Genomic DNA, 16,973 nt, shown 5'->3' with positions numbered 1-16,973 from the left:
TATGGAGATCTCCTTCTATAGTCATGATGGGTTAAACCATAGGCTATTGGTGATCAGCTCCACCCGAGGCTCTCAACCCTCCCTGGAAATTGGGGTTGAGGCTTTGCCATTCTCAGTCTGACTCAAAGAATTTACCCAAACGGAATTTTAAAACAGATGAGCATAACTGGAATCTTAATTACATGATTGGATTATCTGGAGCCACACCTTGATATTCCTAACCCGAGCACCCTCATCCAACGAATGCTCCACCCAACTGGCTCCCAAGTCTCTACGTGGTTCCAGAGCAAAAGAATGTTTATACAACGCATATCTCCACCTTTTCTTCAAAGTCTTTTCGTTTACACGGAAAGACTTCTTAAACTGCCATGCATCAGAGTCAGGGGGAGGTCTTGTTACAACACAGATCTGTGCATCTCCGGGGTTTGATTGTGGCAAGGATGCTGCTGGTGTCAAAACCACAACGTGGGAACCACAGAACCACTAGTTGGTTTTCAGTGTTTCAGTGCATACAATTCCTAATATATCTGGCCAAGAAAACTTGTAAGTTCTTAGATTGTCCCAAAGGTGGCGCATGAAATCAAAGCAGGAGAACAGTTTCCTACCAGGTGTAGCCTGGGAAAGTTGGGGGTGACTGATGGAAAGGAGGAGTGAAGCTCCGCCCTTTCCGCTGCTAGGCTGCGCCCGAGGCTATTTAAACCCACCCTGGCTGGCCTGTACTCAGATCTTCGCGGAGCGGATCAGCGGCCGGAGCGTTTGGCGGACTCTGCGTGGACTTGGAGCTCACAGCGTCTTGCGACTTGGAAGCGGATTCAGAGGACAGGACAGAACACGTGGGCAAGTGAATCTCTGTCTGTCTGTCTGTCTCATTGGTTGGTTGATTTCCATTTTCTTAAGGGGCACATACCTCACACCGCACACACACAAACACACACCGCACACACAAACACACACACACACACACACGCGCGCACACACACACTCCTTCCTTCTTCGAGTTAGAAAATTGGTACGGGCCCCTGGGAGCTGCAGGTTTCCTAATCATGTCTGCACCTAAGAACAGTAGGGTCTTGTCTGGCTCTTCTTATGAACGGTCCCCCAGCCCGGACTCCCCAAGGTCCATGCGAGCCTCACCCAGCTTCTTCCTCTCCCCTCTCAGAATCTCTTGCTTAAGGGGAAGCTCCTCACCAGGGATCCGGAGCTACCATTCACCATCCCCTAGGGCTTCACCACACTCACCTCTGTCATCACCAGAATCCCACAAGCTCCCATTTCCCTGTCCTCACCGTGATGGGCAATCAATGAAGACATTGGGCTCTCCCGTGTCCTCCTCTGAGGATTCCTCAGAGTCCCCACGTTCATCAATAATATACCACATGCTCTTACTGCCATCAGCCAGCAGCTCACCCCCAGCTCTTGGGGGGTCTCCTTTGTCTCCCAGCTACTCTCCAAACAACCCCAGATTTCAGCTGGAGTCAGCCCCCCACACCCAGGAATCACCTACAAACTCATGAGCCTCACGGTGCTCCACCCCTGTGTCTTTCATCTCTTCACCCCCAGGCCTCAGGGACTCTCCTGTGGCTCCCAGTTACTCTCCAGCCATCCCCAGGTTCCTGTGGGAGTCAGCCCCATGCACCCAGGAGTCCCCCAGAGACTCACAGGTCTCGGGAGAATATGAGCGGTCCCCCAGCCCTGACTCCTCAAGATTCATGCCTGCCTCACCCAGCTTCTCCCTCTCCCCTCCCAGAAACTCAGACCCAAGGGGCAGCTCCTCACCAGAGATGTGGAAGTATTCTACATCACCACGCATGGCTTCACCACTCTCCTTACCATTAGAACACTCAGTAATCATATGAATTGTGCAGTTGTTGTTTTGCTTAACTCTTTTTGTTTGTTTATGCTTGGGGTTTTATTGTTGTTGTTTCACTTTTCTCCCATCTCTTCCTGACTTGGTCAAATCCAAAGGAATGTTCCAAATTGTGGGGAGCAAGGCCTCTGAATTGGCTAAAACTCCTATGGCTGCAAAAAAACAAACAAATAAACAACAACAAAAAGCATTCCAGTTAGCAGAAATTATTTTTTAAACCTTTTTTTTTACGTAACTGGTCTCATCTACATAAAAATGTCATCCTTTTGCTAGCCAAGGCCAAACTGAAGGAGTAGTGGTGGTGACCCAATGTGAAGATTCTGCCCTGTTCACTACAGAAACCTGAGTTTGGTTCCTAAGTCTAGTTCTTTCTGTTTGATATTTGTGTTACTTTTAAAACGTCAGCAGTTTGTCCCAGCTATGATGTGGTAGTAAAAGATTCAAAAGGGGTTTCTTTACAGGTTCCATGATTAAAAGCTTAATTTAAAGCAAATTTCTTTTTTTTTAAATTATACTTTAAGTTCTGGGGTACATGTGCAGAACATGCAGGTTTGTTACATAGGTATACACATGCCATGGCGGCTTGCTGCATCCATCAACCCATGATCTACATTAGTTATTTCTCCTAATGCCATCCCTCTCCTAGCCCCCCACGCTGACAGGCCCTGGTGTGTGATGTTCCCCTTGCTGTGTCCATGTGTTCCCATTGTTCAACTCCAAGTTATGAGTGAGAACATGTGGTGTTTGGTTTTCTGTTCTTGTGTTAGTTTGCTGAGAATGATGCTTTCCAGCTTCATTCATGTCCCAGCGAAGGACGTGGATTCATCCTTTTTATGGCTACATAGTATTCCATGGTGTATATATGCCACATTTTCTTTATCCAGTCTATCATTGGTGGGCATTTGGGTTGGTTCCAAGTCTTTGGTTTTGTGAAAAGTGCCGCCATAAACAGACAGGTGCATGTGTCTTTATATTAGAATGATTTATAATTTTGGGGGTATTTACCCAGTAATGGGATTGCTGGGTCAAATGATATTTCTAGTTGTAGATCCTTGAGGAATTGTCACACTGTCTTCCACAATGGTTGAACTAATTTATATTCCCACCAACTGTGTAAAAGCGTTCCTATTTCTCCACATCCTGTCCAGCATCTGTTGTTCCCTGATTTTTTAACGATAGCCATTCTAAGTGCTGTGAGATTGTATCTCATTGTGGTTTTGATTTCCATTTCTCTAATGACCAGTGATGATGTGCTTTGCTTCACATGTTCGTTGGCTGTATAAATGTCTTCTTTGGTAAGTGTCTGTTCATATCCTTTGTCCACTTTTTGATGGGGTTGTTTGTTTTTTTTTTCTTGTAAGTTTGTTCTTTGTAGATTCTGCATATTAGCCCTTTGTCAGATGGATAGATTGCAACAATTTTCTCCCATTCTCTGGGTTGCCTGTTCACTCTGATAATAGTTTCTTTTGCACTGCAGATACTGTTTAGTTTAGTTAGATCCCATTTGTCAATTTTGGCTTTTGTTGCCATTGCTTTTTGTGTTCTGGTGATGAAGTCTCTGCCTATGGCTCTGTCCTGAATGGTATTGCCTAACACAAGGACATTTATGTGCCTGAGTGCTATACCACCCACAGTAATTTATAGATTTATTGCTATCCTCATTAAGCTACCATTGACTTTCTTCATAGAATTAGAAAAACTACTTTAAATTTCATATGGAACCATAAAAGAGCCCACATAGCCAAGACAATCCTAAGCAAAACAACAAAGCTAGAGGCATCACAGTACCTGACTTCAAATTATTCTACAAGACTACAGTAACCAAAACAGCATGGGGCTGGTACCAAATCAGATCTATAGACCAATGGAACAGAACAGAGGCCTCAGAAATGACACCACACATCTAAAAGCATCTGATCTTTGACAAACCTGACAAAAACAAGCAATGGGTAAAGGATACCCTATTTAATAAATGATCTTGGGAAAACTGGCTAGCCTTATGCAGAAAACTGAAACTGGGCCACACCCATACACCTTAAACAAAAATTAAGTAATATGGATGAAAGAGTTAAATGCAAGACCTAAAACAATAAAAAATCTAGAAGAAACCTAGGCCAACAACCTCAGGGGAAATGTACCTGTAATGAAATGCATGGTACAAACACGCATTCCTTGCTTCCTTGAGTGGGTGACGTTGATGGCTAGTCCAATCACTCCAGCCACACCCTTGCAAACGTGGCTGGTTCCTTTTTGAGCCAGCTTGGCTTTGCCCAGCATGCACAAGTCAGTGCAACAACTGTGACACAAATGGAGCCATACAGAGAAAATGAGCAGCAGGCTCAGGAGCAGGGTGTGCGCTGCCTTGGGGGCTCCAGTCCATGCCTCAGGGCTCATATGACACTGCGGGCTTCTTGGGTGCAAAGAGGCAGACCACAGGCCATCTTCAGGAGGCCTTTATTTTGAAGTGCAGAAAGCAGCCAGGATTACCACCCGTGGGACTCGGCCTTTTGTGACCCTGGCCTGACAGAGTTTGGCCCAAGGCAGGACAAGCTCACTCAGAGCAACGTGTCAGTACCTGGGGCCTGTGCATGCCAGTCAAGGCCAAGCTGGCTCAAAGAGCAACCAGCCACCTCTGCAAGGGTGTGCCTGGAGCAGGTGGACCAGCCACCAACCTCACACACTGAAGGAAGCCAGGATGGCCAGGTTTCCACAGCCTGAGTGGCTGCCTCCTGATGGCTGATGGAGCAGAGGCCTGAGGAAAAGCAGGTGGCATGTTTAACTCTTTAATCTATCTTAAGTTAATTTTTGTATAAAGCAGTTGGCACCGGTCCATGCCTCGGGGTTCATATGGCACTGTGGGCCACAGAAGGCTGAGTCCCCTGGGTGGTAATCCTGCCTGCTTTCTGCACTTGAACATAAAGTCCTCCTCAAGATGGCCTGTGGTCTACTTCTCGGCCCCACCTTTAGGGTAGAAGAACTGATGTACCACGTCTGACAGTGAGTGAGGTTGGCGGCTGGTCCACCTGCTCCTGGCACACCTTGCAGAGGTGGCTGCTTGCTCTTTGAGCCAGCTTGGCCTTGCCTGGCATGCACAAGCCTCACTGCAACAAGTGTACAACAAATGGAGCCATAAAGAGGAAATGATCAGCAGGCTCAGGAATGGGGCGTGCACTGCCTTTGTGGCTCCAGTCCATGCCTCAGGGCTCGTATGGCACTGTAGGCTTCTTGGTCGCCAAGAGGCAGACCACAGACGGTCTTGAGGAGGACTTTATGTTCAAGTGCAGAAAGCAGCCAGGATTAGCACCCAGGGGACTCGGCCTTCTGTGGCCCTGGCCAGAGGTAGAATTTGGCCCAACACACTACAAGCTGACTTGGAACGGCATATAGGTAGCTGGGGCCTGTGCATGCCAGGCAAGGCCAAGCTGGATCAAAGAGCAAGCAGCCACCTCTGCAAGGGTGTGCCTGGAGCAGGTGGAGCAACCACCAACCTCACCCACTCAAGGAAGCAGGGATGGCCAGATTCCTACAGCCTGAGGGGCTGCCTCCTGATGGCTGATGGAGCAGAGGCCTAAGGAAAAGCAGATAGCACTGTGGCCCTACCTGTAGGGTAGAAGAACTGATGTAACCCGACCGGCAGCAAGTCAGGTTGGTGGCTGGTCCACCAGCTCCAGGCACACCCTTGCAGAGGTGGCCGGTTGCTTTTTGAGCCAGCCTGGCCTTCCTCAGTATGCAGTAGTCAGTGCAACAACTGTGACACAAATGGAGCCACACAGAGAAAATGAGCAGCAGGCTCAGGAGCAGCGTGTGCGCTGCCTTGGGGGCTCCAGTCCATGCCTCAGGGCTCATATGGCACTGCGGGCTTCTTGGTTGCAAAGAGGCAGACCACAGGCCATCTTCAGTAGGTCTTTATGTTGAAGTGCAGAAAGCAGCCAGGATTACCACCCGTGGAACTCGGCCTTTTGTGACCCTGGCCTGACAGAATTTGGCCCAAGGCAGGACAAGTTCACTCAGAGCAACGTGTCTGTACCTGGGGCCTGTACATGCCAGGCAAGGCCAAGCTGGTTCAAAGAGCAACCAGAGCATCCATTCTGGTGGATGAGCCAACCACATGGCCAGCTTCTGGGTGTGGGCACAGTGCCACATCTTCCATCACTTTCTGATATATCCCACCAGCACTGAAGAGACAGCCTGGAGAGAGTGCAAGAGGAAGGCTGAGAAGGATGAGATGGTGAGTGCTGGCTTCTTTCTGACCCTCAGCACACCCCCAGGTGGTGACCATCAACCTTTAGGGGTGGGAGAGCAAGATTGATGGCTTCAAATACTTCCCCAAGAAGATGGACACAGGCCACTCAGCTCAACCTCACAGCCAATGAGTTGACATGCAAGCAGATGACAGTGACAGGCTTTTAGAAAGAGCTTCAGAAGGCGGCCAGTTTTTCTTCGGCCTCAGCCAGGCCTTGGAACTTGACTAGGCCATCCACTTCACCAGAGATGCCTTCAAGAACATCAGTGAGCTCCTTGCCAATCCGTCCAGGAAGGACCTGGACCCAGCCATGGACCTGTTAGTGCTGTCTCAGGGACACCAGACCAACATCCTGGACATCATCCTCATATACAAGGAAGCTCTTACGACAGTCACGGAGAACAGGCAACATGTGGCAGAAGGGAAGACAGAGGTACAGAGGCTGATGGCATCATTATCACAGGAACAGGATTTCTTTGGCCACTTTGGCTGAAATTCACCACTTCTATCCAATCCACTCAAGCGAGAGACTTGAAATCACAGATGGAACATTTCTTGCAACAAGAGATACTATTTTTTCAAAAAGTCACCTAAAATTTGATAGTGTTGAATGACTAGCTATTCGAGTGTGGACTTTTTCCAGTGCACGGGTACTTTCTACAGCAGAATGATAACAGTATCAAAGGGCTGGTGCCAGCTATCGGTGGTAGTACAAGGATGACTTTGTGCTCAACTGAAACCCAGGTGAATATAGACTTGTGTAGGAAAGTGTTAATATGGTGATAGAATAGAAACAGTAGCAAATGAACTAAATCATACTATGAATGCCTACACTACCATTATAACTTTTTGAAGAATGATAATACCACTTACTTTATTGCCTTTTGAAGTAGGAATATTTTAGTGGATATGCTATAGACCAGAAACCCTGTAAAGAACCCCAAAGAAGCTGGCTGGATAAAGCCTGCTATGGATGTCTTTATACTCAAAGACTGATGAGGCAATTCGAATATGTGTCCCCACCAAATCTCATGTTGAGTTATGCTTCCTAATGTTGGAGGTGGATCCTGGTATAAGGTGATTGAATCATGAAGGCAAATTTCTCATGAGTGGTTCAGCACCATCCCCTTGGTACTGTCCTCACAATCATGAGTGACTTCTCGTGAGATCTGGCCACTGAAAACTCTATATCACTCCCTACTCTCCGTGATTTCCTCTTGCCATGTGAGACAATTCACTCTTTCATTACCTTGCACAATGATTGAAAGATTTCTGAGGCCCCCCAGAAGCAGAAGCACTAAGCTTCCTGTCCACTCTGCAGAACCATGAGCCAATTAAACCTCTTTTTCAAAATAAATCTTACCAAAAATGGCAAATGAGGACTGGAGCATTCCTATAAAGATACCTGAAAATGTGGAAGCAACTTCGGAACTGGGTAATGGGTAGAGGTTGGAAGAGTTTGGAGGGCTCCAAAGAAGACAGACAGATGAGAACATTTTTGGACCATCTTAGAGACTGGTTAAATGGCTGTGACAAGAATGCTGACAAAAACATGGACAGTGAAGGCCAGGCTGAGGGGGTCTCAGATAAAAATAAGAAGCTTTCTGGAAAATGTCTCTCTTTTGGATATAGAAAGCTTACACAATGCCTGTACCATCATTGTACCTTAGACACAGTGAACTTGCTTTTTATTTCAGAGACTCGTAGGCAAAAGAGAATGTAGCCTTGACCCAGATGAGACTTTGGACTTTGTAACTTTGAGTTAATGCTGAAATGAGTTAAGACTTTGGGAGACTGCTGGCAAGGCATGACTGTATTTTGCAATGTGAGAAGGACATGAGATTTGTGGGGTCAGGGACAGAATAATACGGTTTTTCTCTATGCCCCTTCCAAAACTCATGTGAAAGTACACTCCCTAATGTTAGAGTCGGGGCCTAGGTGGAAAAAGCTTTAATCATAAAGGAGTGGGAGTGGATCCTTCACAAATGGCAAAGCACCAAGCCCTTAATGCCATCCTCCTGATAGTGAGTGAGTTCTCATGAGATCTAGTAGTTTAAAAGGCTGTGGAACCTCTTTCCTCTCTCTGTCTTGTTCCAACTTCTGCCATATGAAACATGTCATTGCCGCTTGGATTTCCGGTGTGGTTAGGAGGGACCTGATCAGTGTGGGCCTGGTCAGTGGACCTAGGTCAGTGAGGACTATTTAGTGGGATCGTGGTCAGCAGGGGTCTGCTTAGAGAGGGTCTCATTAGTGGGGTCTAGTAGTGGGGTTTTGGTGAGTGGGGACCTATTGGCTGCCAGTTGTTTGGTGTCTGGTCAGTGCAAACCTGGGCTGTGGGGCTTGATCAGTGGAGACCTGGTCAGCTGGGGCTTAGTGCTGGCCTGGTCAGCATGGGCTGGGGCACTGGTGACCAGGTCAAGGGGTGCTATTCAGTGGAGGACTGGGCACATGGGACCTAGTCAGCAGACCCTGGTGGGCATGTCCTCATCAGTGAGGCCCTTGTCAGTGGGGCCCTGGTCAGGGCAGCCTTGTCAGCGGGACCTAATCTGTAGCGTCCTGGTCAGAGACGACTTGGTCAGTGGTGACTTTTGCAGCACTGGTCTACAGGGTGACCTGGTCAGCGGGGATCTCAGCATTTGGTGCCAGTTCAGTGGGGTCTACTCACTAGGGTCCCAGTCAGGGGCATCTGGTGATCTTAGGCCTGGTTATTAGGGGCCTGATCAGTGGCAACCTGTTCCCTGGAGGTCTGGTCAGTGGGGCCTCATCTTTGGGGCCAGGGAATGAGGTCATGATCAGTGGAACTTGATCAGTGAGGCCTTGTCAATAATGACCTACTCAGTGAGGACTTGTCAGTAAGGACTTGGTCCGTGAGGCCTTGTCAGTAAGGTCCTGGTCGGTGGAGTCCTTGTCATTGTGTGCCTGGCAGTGGGGGCCTTGTTAGTGGGGCCTGGTCATGAGGGTCTAATCAGTGAGGGTGTCATCAGGGAGGACCTGATGTGCGGGGTCTGGTCAGCAGGGACCTGGTCAATGTGGGCTGCTGAGCACTGCTTGGATAAGCCAGGTGCAATGTGCATTATTGAAGGCCCTGTGGACAGCTGGGATAGCCCAGTGATGCCCAAGGGCCTAGTCAAAAGTGGACAAAGCACGTATTTGGATGGACCTGGGAGATCCTGCTCAGAGATTCTGACAGGACAAAGGTAAAGGAAGGGCCAGAGTGGCTGGAGAGATGGTCACAGTCTATGGGCTGCACAGGATGGAGGAGGCCAGGGAAAAGGCAGGGTGGGCAGTTGGGGTTCAGGGAGAGGCAGGTGCATGCTGGGAGGTCAGACCCTGTGAAGGCTTTGGGGGCGTCAGGTTGGGTAGGCTCCAGGCACTCTCACTCACATAGGATTCCAGAACACTGCTACAAGGCTCTGAGTGTTTGTCCCTCACATAGGATTCCAGAACACTGCTGCCATTGTCTGAATGTTTGTCCCCCACATAGGATTCCAGAAGCCTGCTGCTGGGGTCTGAATGTTTGTCCCCCATCTAGGATTCCAGAACACTGCTGCGAGGGTCTGAATGTCTGTCCCTCACATATGATTCTAGAACATTGATGCTAGGGTCTGTATGTTTGCCCTTAACATATGATTTCAAAACACTGCTCCTGGATTCTGAATGTTTGTCCTTCACATAGGAATACAGAACACTGCTGCTGGAGTCTGAATGGTTGTCACTCACATAGAATTCCAGAACACTGCTGTGAGGATCTGAATGTTTGACCCTCACATGGGATTCCAGAACACTGCTGCGAGTGTCTAAATGTCTGTCCCTCACACAGGATTCCCGAACAATGTTACGAGGTTCTGAATGTTTGTCCCTAACATAGGATTCCAGAGCACTCCTGCTGTGCTCTGAATGCTTCTCCCTCACATAGGATTCCAGAACACTGCTACGAGGGTCTGAATGCTTATCCCTCATATAGGATTCCAGAACACTTCTGCTGTGGTCTGAATGTTTGTTCCTCACATAGGATTCCAGAATACTCCTGCCGTGGTCTGAATGTTTGTCCCTCACATAGGATTCCAGAACATTCATGCTGGGGTCTCAATATTTCCCTTAACATAGGATTTCAGAACACTGCCCTTGGGGTCTGAATGTTTGTCGCTCACATAGGATTACAGAACACTGCTGCTGGAGTCTGAATGTTTGTCAGTCACATAGAATTCCAGAACACTGCTACAAGGGTGTGACTATTTCTCCCTCACCTAGTATTCCAGAACACTGTTGCAAGGGTCTGAATGTTGGTCCGTCATATAGGATTCCAGAACACTGCTGCTGTGGTCTGAATGTTTGTCCCTCACATAGAATTCCGGAACACTGCTACAAGGGTCTGAATGTTTGTCCTTCACATACCATTCCAGAACACTGCTGCCGTGGTCTGAATGTATGTCCCTCACATAGGATTCCAGAACACTGCTACTAGGTTCTGAATGTTTTTCCCACACCTAGGATTCCAGAACACTTCTGCTGGTGTCTGAATGGTTGTTCCTCACATATGATTCCAGGACACTGCTATGAGAGTCTTAATGTTTGTCCTTCACGTAGGATTCTAGAACACTGCTCCCGTGGTCTGAATGTTTGTCCTTCACATAGCATTCCAGAACACTGCTGCTGGGGTCTGAATGTCTGCCCCTCAAATCAGATTCCAGAGCACTGCTGCTGGGGTTTGAATGTCTTTCCCTCACATAGAATTCCAGAACACGGCTGGGAGGGTCTGAATGTTTGTCCCTCACATGGGATACCAGAACACTGTTGCGAGGGTCTAAATGTCTCTCCCTCACATAAGATTTCAGGACACTGCTACGAGGTTCTGAATGTTTGTCCCTCACATAGGATTCCAGAACACTGCCACGTGGGTCTGAATGTTTGCCCTCACATAGGATTCCAGAACACTACTGCTGGGGTCTGAATGTTTGACCCTCACATAGGATTCCAGAACACTCCTGCTGTGGTCTGAAAGTTTGTTCATCACATAGGACTCCAGAACACTCCTAAGAGGGTATGAATGTCCCTCACATAGTATTCCAGAACACTCCTTCTGTGGTCTGAATGTTTGTTCCTCACATAGGATTCGAGAACACTCCTGCTGTGGTCTGAATGTTTGTCCCTTACCTAGGATTCGAGAACATTCACGCTGGGATGTAAATGCTTGCCCTTAACATAGGATTTCAGAACACTGCTCCTGGGGTCTGAAAGTTTGTCCCTCACATAGGATTCCAGAACTCTCCTGCTGTGGTCTGAAAGTTTGTACCGCACATAGGATTCCAGAACACTGCTGCTGTGGTCGGAATGTTTTTCTGTCACATAGGATTCCAGAACACTGCGGCTGGGTTCTGAATGTTTGTCCCTCACATAGGATTTCAGAACGCTGCTACGAGGGTCTGATTGTTGGTCCCTCACATAGGATTCCTGAACACTGCTGCTGGGCTCTGAATGTTTGTCCCTCACATTGGATTGCAGAACACTACTGCTATGGTCTGAACGTTTGTCCGTCACATAGGATTCCAGAACGCTCCTGCTGTGGTCTGAATGTTTGTCTGTCACATAGGATTCCAGAACACTGCGGCTGGGCTCTGAATGTCCCTGACATAGGATTCCAGAACATTGCTATGAGGGTCTGAATGGTTGTCTTTCACATAGCATTCCAGAACACTGCTACGAGGGTCTGAATGTTGGTCCCTCACACAGGATTCCAGAACCCTCCAGCTGGGGTCTGAATGTTTGTCCCTCACAAAGGATTCCAGAACACTGCTATGAGGGTCTGAATATTTGTCCCTCACATAGGATTCCAGAACACACCTGCTGTGGTCTGAATGGTTGTCCCTCACAAAGGATTCCAGAACACTCCTGCTGTGATCTGAATGGTTGTCCCTCACATAAGATTCCGGAACACTTCTGCTGTGGTACGAATGTTTGTGTCTCACGTAGGATTCCAGAACACTGCTACGAGGGTCTCAATGTTTGCCCCTCACGTAAGATTCCAGAACACTGCTGCTGGGGTCTGAATGCTTGTCCCTCACATACGATTACAGAACAGTGTTGCTGGGGTGTGAATGTTTGTCCCTCACAAAGGATTCCAGAACACTGCCATGAGGGTCTGAATATTTGTCCCTCACATAGGATTCCAGAACACTCCTGCTGTGGTCTGAATGGTTGTCCCTCACATAGGATTCCAGAACACTCCTGCTGTGGTCTGAATGGTTGTCCCTCACATAAGATTCCAGAACACTTCTGCTGTGGTACGAATGTTTGTGTCTCACGTAGGATTCCAGAACACTGCTACGAGGGTCTCAATGTTTGTCCCTCACATAAGATTCCAGAACACTGCTGCTGGGGTCTGAATGCTTGTCCCTCACATACGATTACAGAACACTGTTGCTGGGGAGTGAATGTTTGTCCCTCACATAGGATACCAGACCACTGCTGCTGAGGTCTCAATGTCTGTCCCTCAAAAAAGGATTCCAGAACACTGTTACTAGGGTCTGAATTTTTGTTCCTCACTTAAGACTGCAGAACACTGCTTCGAGGGTCTAAATGTCTGTCCTTCACATAGGATTCCAGAACACTCCTTCTGGCGTCTGAATGTTTGTCCCTCACATAGGATTCCAGAGCACTCCTGCTGTGGTCTCAATGTTTGTTAATCACATAGGATTCCAGAACACTGCTACAAGGGTCTGAATGTTTGTCCCTCACATAGGATTCCAGAATACTCCTGCTATGGTCTTAATGCTTGTCCCTCACATAGGATTCCAGAACATTCATGTTGGGGTCTGAATGTTTGCCCTTATCATAGGATTTCAGAACAGTGTTCCTGGGGTCTGAATATTTGTCCTTCATATAGGATTTAAGAACACTCCTGCTTTTGTCTGAAAGTTTGTCCCTCACATAGGATTCCAGAACTCTCCTGCTGTGGTCTGAAAGTTTGTCCTTCACATAGGATTCCAGAACACTGCTGCTGTGGTTTGAATATTTGTCCCTCACATAAGATTCCAGAACACTGCTAGGAGGGTCTGAATGTTTGTCCCTCACATAGGATTCCTGAGCATTGTTGCCGTGGTCTGAATTTTTGCCATTCACATAGGATTCCAGAACAGTGCTACGAGGGTCTGAATGTTTGTCCCTCACATAGGATTCCAGAACACTTCTGCTGGTATCTGAATGTTTGTACCTCACATAGGATTCCAGAACACTGCTGCTGGGGTCTGAACGTCTGTCCCTCACATAGGATTCTAGAACACTGCTGTTGGGGTTTGAATGTCCCTCACATAGAATTCCAGAACACTGCTGCGAGTGTCTGAATGTTTGTCCTGCAGATGAGATTCTAGAACACTGCTGCGAGGGTCTAAATGTCTGTCCCTGACATAACATTCCAGCACACTGCTACGAGGTTTTGAAATGTTTGTCCCTCACATAGGATTACAGAGCACTCCTGCTGTGGTCTGAATGTTTGCCCCTCACATAGGATTCCAGAACATTCCTGCTGTGGTCTGATTGTTCCTCACATAGGATTCTGGAACACTCCAGCTGGCTTCTGAGTGTTTGTCCCTCACATAGGATTCCTGAAGACTGCTGCTGTCACTATAGTCGTTGCGAGTGTCTGAATGTTTGACCTTCACCAAACACTAAATATCCTGCCCCTTTAGTCTTGGACTTTCCAGCCTCCAGATCTGTGAGCAATATCTCTGTTGTTTATGAATTACTCAGTCTAAAGTATTTTGTTATAGTAGCCTAAAGAGACTAAGAGAGCATCACCTGCCCTGTCACCTCATCACCGCATTACTAAAGCTATACTAACAGCAGTCACTTTTAGTGGGTGCTTCATGCATGAGAATAAAGGGAAAAAATTGCAAGGCATACTAAAATCCAAAAAAAGAAAAAAATATAATTTGTGTCAACAGAGCAAGCTTCAGAACCAGACAAAGATATGATTTTGGAATTTTTTTTAAACCTCTGGAGAATATGCTAAGGGCCTAATGAATGAACTAGACAGCATTCAAGTATAGATGGGTAATGTAATCAGAAAGACAGACATCGTAAGAACCTTCAACATAATGTAGTGGTAAAAAATGTGGTAAATAACTGAAGAATACCTCTGATGGCTTATTAGTAGACTGGACTCAGCTGAGTAAAGAATCTCTGAGCTTGAGGATTTATCATCAGAAACTTCGAAAACTAAAGAAAAGAAACACTGAAAAGAACAGAAGGTGATATCCAAGACTGTGGGACAACTACAAAAGGTGAAACAGAGTAATGAGAATACCAGGAGGAGGAGAAGAAATAGAAGAAAGTTCTGCAACAACCATGTCTGAGAACTTCCAGTATTAATGTCAGACACCAAACCAAAGATCCAGGAAGCTCTGAGAACACCAGGCAGAATAAATGCCAACAACCTACACTTGGACATATAATTTTCAAACTATATGAAATAAAAAATAAAGGAAAACTCTGAAAGAAACCAGAGGTGGGGCAGAAAACACCTTACCTACAGAGACACAAAGATAAGAACTGCATTCAACATTGCAGAAACTGTGAAAGCAAGAAGACAGTGAAATGAAAAAATCAAAATGTTGACAGAAAAAACCCACCAACCTAAGTTTCTGTACCCACTGAAAACACCCTTCAAAAGTGAAGGAGAATTAAGGCCTTCCTCAGAAAAATAAAAATTCAAGAAACTTGTTGCCAGGAGACCTGTCTTGCAAGAAATGTTAAATGAAATTCTTTAGAGGGAAACAAAAGATATATAACTGAAACCTGGATCAACATTTTTTTAAAAAGAGCATTAAAGAATTGTGGTACAATAAAAACCTATGTATTTATTCTTAATTGATCTGACCAAGAAGTTCATAGACAATAACAAATACACACAGATAGATTATGTATGCTTAAACACAAGTGAAATGAGTAACACTAATACAAGGAATAGAATGGAAGGATGGGAGGGAGGAATTGTGGTACAATAAAAACATGTATTTATTCATAATTGATCTGACCAATAAGTTTGTAGATAATAATAAATACACACAGATAGATTATGTATGCTTATACACAAGTGAAATAAGGAACAATAATACAAGGAATGGAATGGAAGGATGGGAGGGAGGAATCAGGTGTTTTCTTTGTTAAGCAGGTAGTCACCCGTGAAGTGGGATAGTGTTATCTGAAAGTGGACTTTAATTGGTTGTAAATGTATATTGAGGAATTAGGTGTGTTCTTTGTTAAGCAGGTAGTCTTATTTGTGGGATAGTGGGATAGTGTTATTTGAAAGTGGACTTGAATTTGTTATAAATGTTACTGAGGAATTAGGTGTTTTGTTTGTTAAGCAGGTAGTCTTATTCGTGGGATAGTGGGATAGTGTTATTTGAAAGTGGACTTGAATTTGTTGTAAATGTATATCGCAAATTCTGTGGCAACTAGTTAAAAAAAGTTTTAAAAAGAGAAGTACATGCTAAGAAAGACAGGGAAAATGTAGTCATCTAAAATCATCAATGAAAACTGCAAAAGGCAGAAAAAGACTGGTAGACAAAAGAATGGAGACTGAGGAGAATGAATAGAAAACAGTAACAAATATAGTAGATATTAATCTAATGATATCAATAATCACTTTGAATGCTAATGGTATGAATGTACCAATTCAAAGATAGAGATTGTCAGAGTCTATCAAAAGACTTGATTCACTGCACTTTGCTTTATTGTGTTTTGTGACCATGTGTTTTACATATTGAAGGTTTGTGGCCACCCTGCAATAAGCAGGTCTGACTGGCACCATTGTTCCTACAGCACGTGCTCACTTCACGTCTCTGTGTCACATTTCGGTCATTCTCACAGTATTTTAAGATTTTTATTATTGAATCGTTATGGTGATCTGTAATGAGTGATCTTTAATGCTACTGTTGTCATTGTTTTGGGAACCACAAATCACACCAGGATAAGACAGCAAACAATTGACAAATGCGTTTGTTCTGACTGCCCCACCAACGGGCCATTTCTCTTTCTCTCTCTTTTTCTCAGGCTTCTTTTTATTAATATTAAAATGTGGCCAATTAATAACCCTACAATAGCCTCTGTATGTTCAAGTGAAAGAAGAGTTGTATGTCTGTCACTTTAAACCAAAAGAAAGAAATAATTAAGCTTAGTGATTAAGGCATGCTGTAAGCAAGACAGGCCAGTAGCTAGACCTCATGCAACAAACACTTAGCCAAGTTGTGAATGCAAAGGAAGTGTTCTGGAAAGAAATTTAAAGTATTACTCCAGTGAATACATGAATGATAAAAAGCTAAACAATCTTGCTGCTGTTATGAAGAAAGTTTAATTGATCTAGATAGAAGATAAAAAAAAATCCATTAAGCCTAAGCCTAACTCTCTTTTTACTTTTTTCTTTGTTTTTGAGACAGAGTTTCATTTTTCTTGCCCAAGCTGGAGTACAATAGCGTGATCTTGGCTCATCGCAACCTCTGCCTCCCAAGTTCAAGCTCTCCTGCCTCAGCATTCTGAGTAGCTGGGATTACAGGCATGCACCACCACACCTGGCTAATTTTTTGTATTTTTAGTAGAGACGCGGTTTCTCCACGTTGGTTAGACTGGTGTCGAACTCCCGACCGCAGGTGATCTGCCTGTCTCGGCCTCCCAAAGTGCTAGGATTACAGGTGTGACAGCCACCACACCCGGCCTCCCTTCAATTCTATGAAGACTTAGAGAGGTGAGGCAGCTGCAGAAGAAGAGTCTGAAGCTAGAAGAGCTTGTTTCTTGAAGTTTAAGGAAAAAAGTCTTCTTCATAACATAAAAGCGCAAGATAAAGCAGCAAGTACTGATGGAAAAGCTGCA

At 45.7% G+C, this 16,973-nt stretch overlaps 1 long non-coding RNA gene and 1 pseudogene across 1 annotated transcript in view; one reads left to right on the top strand and one right to left on the bottom strand.

The window, feature by feature from the left end:
- Nucleotides 1-1,891: 1,891 nt before the first annotated feature.
- LINC01666 (long intergenic non-protein coding RNA 1666) overlaps nt 1,892-16,973 on the bottom strand; it is a 46,880-nt gene continuing 31,798 nt past the window's right edge. The window contains exon 3 of the long non-coding RNA NR_187559.1: nt 1,892-2,019. This is a non-coding gene — a long non-coding RNA (long intergenic non-protein coding RNA 1666). The remainder of the gene's footprint in view (nt 2,020-16,973) is intronic.
- On the top strand, nt 5,957-6,710 carry SNX18P10 (sorting nexin 18 pseudogene 10; annotated as a pseudogene).

The sequence above is a fragment of the Homo sapiens genome, chromosome 21, assembly GCF_000001405.40.
Source record: "Homo sapiens chromosome 21, GRCh38.p14 Primary Assembly".
Lineage (NCBI taxonomy): Eukaryota > Metazoa > Chordata > Mammalia > Primates > Hominidae > Homo > Homo sapiens.
Note: the sequence above shows the minus strand (reverse complement) of the source record. Positions and strands in the feature narration are given on the sequence as shown.